Source organism: Homo sapiens, chromosome X (genome assembly GCF_000001405.40).
Source record: "Homo sapiens chromosome X, GRCh38.p14 Primary Assembly".
Classification (NCBI taxonomy): Eukaryota; Metazoa; Chordata; class Mammalia; order Primates; family Hominidae; genus Homo; species Homo sapiens.
This window is the reverse complement of record NC_000023.11, coordinates 112936961-112940876: the sequence shown is the minus strand read 5'-3', so window position 1 is coordinate 112940876 and position 3916 is coordinate 112936961. Positions and strand designations below refer to the sequence as shown.

General features: G+C 35.3%; 1 annotated feature.

Moving 5' to 3' along the window:
* Nucleotides 3140-3703: an enhancer, noted in NCBI's record as "NANOG hESC enhancer chrX:112180402-112180965 (GRCh37/hg19 assembly coordinates)". NCBI's record gives its function as "activates a minimal SCP1, AML or CMV promoter by ChIP-STARR-seq in primed H9 embryonic stem cells {active_cell/tissue: H9 hESC(primed)}" and the evidence as "EXISTENCE:reporter gene assay evidence [ECO:0000049][PMID:30033119]".

Sequence of the window (3916 nt, the reverse complement as noted above, 5' to 3'; positions counted from 1 at the left end):
TGGAAAGAAAGGAGAGGCTACAATAGGACATTTATATAATTGAAGCATAATAACATTCTACAAAATTCTCCCTACATGCATATTGTCTGATTGCAGAATTCTAGTTAGCAAGCATCCATGAATTTACCAAGAAAAGCAAAGGGTGCCGTTTGTCTCATCTAGAATAAAATAATAAAGAACAGTGAATATAGCAATTAACTGTTTGCAGAGTGCTTTCTTGTGCACTATTTAATTTGATCTGCATGAGAACCCTTAAGAAAGAAATTATTAATTTCTCCATTTTATGGAAGAGAAAATGAGAGGTCACAGAAAATAATTGACCTGAGTCACACTACTAATAGGTGATGACCCAGGGACTGACTGGAAGCCAGGGCTTCTTGCTCTAAAAGTTCATGCTTGTTGCTCTTTGCTGCTTCTTGTCAAAATGAATACATTGCCATGAAGCTGAGAAAAGACATCGATTTTACTTATGTTTGTGTTTCACAGAAACTGACATATTTATATACAACTACATGAATATGTATTTATAAATAAATAGCTTTATTTATGAAATTTATAAATTATTTATAGAGTTACAAATAAATTAGAATCCTGTTCATTCTAAGACATACCAGGCTATGACAATACTTTAATTGTGTATTATTTCTACTTTGACAACAATTACAAGGGATTCTGTTTATTTTTCAACAATATGAAATTATTCAGAATCGGTTATTCAGAATCAATATCAGAAAGAATAACTGATTTATTAAAGGCTTTAATTACATAGAAGGCTACAGCTCTTTTAACGCAGGTTAGGTTTTTAACTTTAAATAGGTTTTTATTTGCAATTTATAGAAGTCATACATTGTTATTGTAGACAATTTGGAGTACACAGAAATTTAGTGCTTTTTAAATTTTTTTTCTTTTTTAATTTTTATGACTACATAGTAGGTATATATTCATGGGGTACATGAGATGTTTTGATACAGGCATGCAATATGAAATAATCACATCATGTAGAATCAGGTATCCTTCCCCTCAGGCACTTACCCTTTGAGTTACAAACAATCCAATTACACTCTTTATTTTAAAATGGACAATTAAGTCATTATTGACGATAGTCACCCTGATGTTCTGTCAAATAGTAGGTCTTATTCCTTCTTTCTATTTTTTGTACCCATTAACCATCCGCACATCACCCCCAGCCCCCTACTACCCTCCCCAACCTCTGACAACCATCCGTCTACTCTCTATGTCCGTGAGTTCAATTGTTTGATTTTTAGATCCCACAAATAAGTAAGAACATGCAGTTTCTTTTTCTGTGCAAGGCTTATTTCACTTAACATAATGATCTCCAGTTCTATCCATATTGTTGCAAATGAATGGATCTCATTTTTTTTATGGCTGAATAGCACTCCATTGTGTATATGCTCCACATTTTCTTTATCCATTCATCTGTTGATGGACATTAGTTTGATTCCAAATCTTAGCTATTATGAACAGTGCTGCAACAAACATAGGAGTGCAGGTATCTCTTTGATATACTTTCTTTTGGGTATATTCCCAGCAGTGGGATTGCTGGATCATATGGTAGTTCAACTTTTAGTTTTTTGAGGAACGTCCAAATCGTTCCCATAGTGGTTGTACTAATTTACATTCCCACCAACAGTATACAAGGGTTCCATTTTCACCACATCCTTGCCAGCATATAAGCCATTTTAACTGGGGTGAGATGATATCTCATTGTAGCTTTGATTTGCATTTCTGATGATCACTGATGTTGGGCATCTTTTCATATGCCTGTTTGCCATTTGTATGTCGTCTTCTCAGAAATCTCTATTCAAATCTTCTGCTCATTTTTTATTGGATTACTAGACTTTTTCCTATAGAGTTATTTGAGTTCCTTATATATTATGATTATTAATCCCTTGTCAGATGGGTAGTTTGCAAATATTATCTCCCATTCTGTGGGTTGTCTCTTCACTTTCTTCATTGTATCATTTGCTGTGCAGAAGTTTTTTAACTTCATGTGATCCCATTTGTCCATGTTTGCTTTGGTTGCTTGTGCTTGTGGGATATTGCTCAAAAAATCTTTGCCCAGACCAATGTCCTGGAGCTTTTCTCCAATGTTTTCTTGTAACAGTTTCATAGTTTGAGGTCTTAGATTTATGTCTTTAATCCATTTTGATTTGATATTTGTATCTGGCAAGAAATAGGGGTCTAGTTTCATTCTTCTGCATATGGATATCCAGTTTTCATAGCACCATTTATTGAAGAGACTTTCTTTTCCCTAGTTTATGTTCTTGGCACCTTTGTCAAAAATGAGTTCACTGAAGGTGTACGGATTTGTTCCTAGGTTGTCTATTTTGTTCCATTGGTCTAGGTGTCTCTTTTTATGCCAATACCATGCTGTCTTGGTTACTATACCTCTGTAGTACAATTGGAAGTCAGGTAATGTGATTCCTTTAGTTTAGTTTTTTTTTTGTTTTTTGTTTTTTGTTTTTTGTTTTGTGTGTGTGTGTGTGTGTGTGTGTGTTTGTGTGTGTGTGTGTTTTGCCTTAGGATAGCTTTGGCTATTCTGGGTCTTTCATACTTCCATATAAATTATAGGATTGTTTTTGTATTTCTGTGAAGAATGTAATTGGTATTTTGATAGTAATTGCATTGAATCTGTGGATTGCAATTAACAGTATGGACATTTTTAACAACATTGATTCTTCCAATCCATGAACATGGAATATTTTTGCATTTTTTGGTGTCCTCTTCCATTTATTTTACCCATGTTTTACAGTTTTCATTATAGAGATATTTCACTTCTTTGGTTAATTCCTAGGTATTTAATTTTATGTGTAGCTATTGTAAATGGGATTACTTTTTTTATTTTAAGTTCTGGGATACATGTGCAGAATGTGCAGGTTTGTTACATAGGTATACATGTGCCATGGTGGGTTGCTGCACCTATCAACCCATCGTCTAGGTTTTAGGCCCCGTATGCATTAGGTATTTGTCCTAATGCTCTCCCTCCCCTAGACCCCCACCCTTCGACAGGCCCCAGTGTGTGATGTTCCCCTTCCCTCATTGTAACTTTGAACTCCTGGGCTCAAGCAATCCTCCCACCTCCAATTCCCATGTAGCTGGGACTACATATGAACACCACCATGCCCGGCTAAATATATATATACATATATACATATATATATACACACACACACACACACACACACACATATATACACACACACATATATATATACACACACACATATATATATATATACACACACATATATATATATATTTTAGAGGTGGGGTTTCACCATGTTGCTCAGTCTGGTCTCAAATTCCTGGGCTCAAGTGACCCTCCTGCCTTGGCCTTTCAAAGTGCTGGAATTACAGGTATAAGCCACTGCAACCAACTGGGGCCACAATTTTTAATTGGTGGCATTTGGCTCCTGTAGAGACATTGTCTAAAAGTTTCCTGCCTTTCTAGGCTGCTCCTTTCTTCTTCCTTTGGTTAGAGAGAGTAGGCTTTTGTTGTGGCTTTTTTGTGTGTACTTCTTAGTATTTCCAGGTTGCAGTCTTCAGTTCTAAATCTAGGATGTGTGAGGCAAAAACAAAAACAAAAACAAAAACAAAAACAAATCTACCCAGGGAACTTGTCTTCATGTTCCCTGACATGTTATCATGTAATTACTTGGGTCTAGCTAGTCTTCTTTCTTTTATCTACCTCTCAGAGACTTCTTACTTTTGTTTTATATATGATTTGCAGAGCCTTTTGTTGTGCTCAGCAGAAAGAATAAGGAGAAGTACGTCTATTCTATTGTCCCTGTAACAGAATTCGCGGAACCAACTTTTAAAAAGAATAGGTTGAATTAACTTAAATTATAGGTTATGTACATAGAGAAAGAGAGAGAGAATCTCACTTTGTCACCCA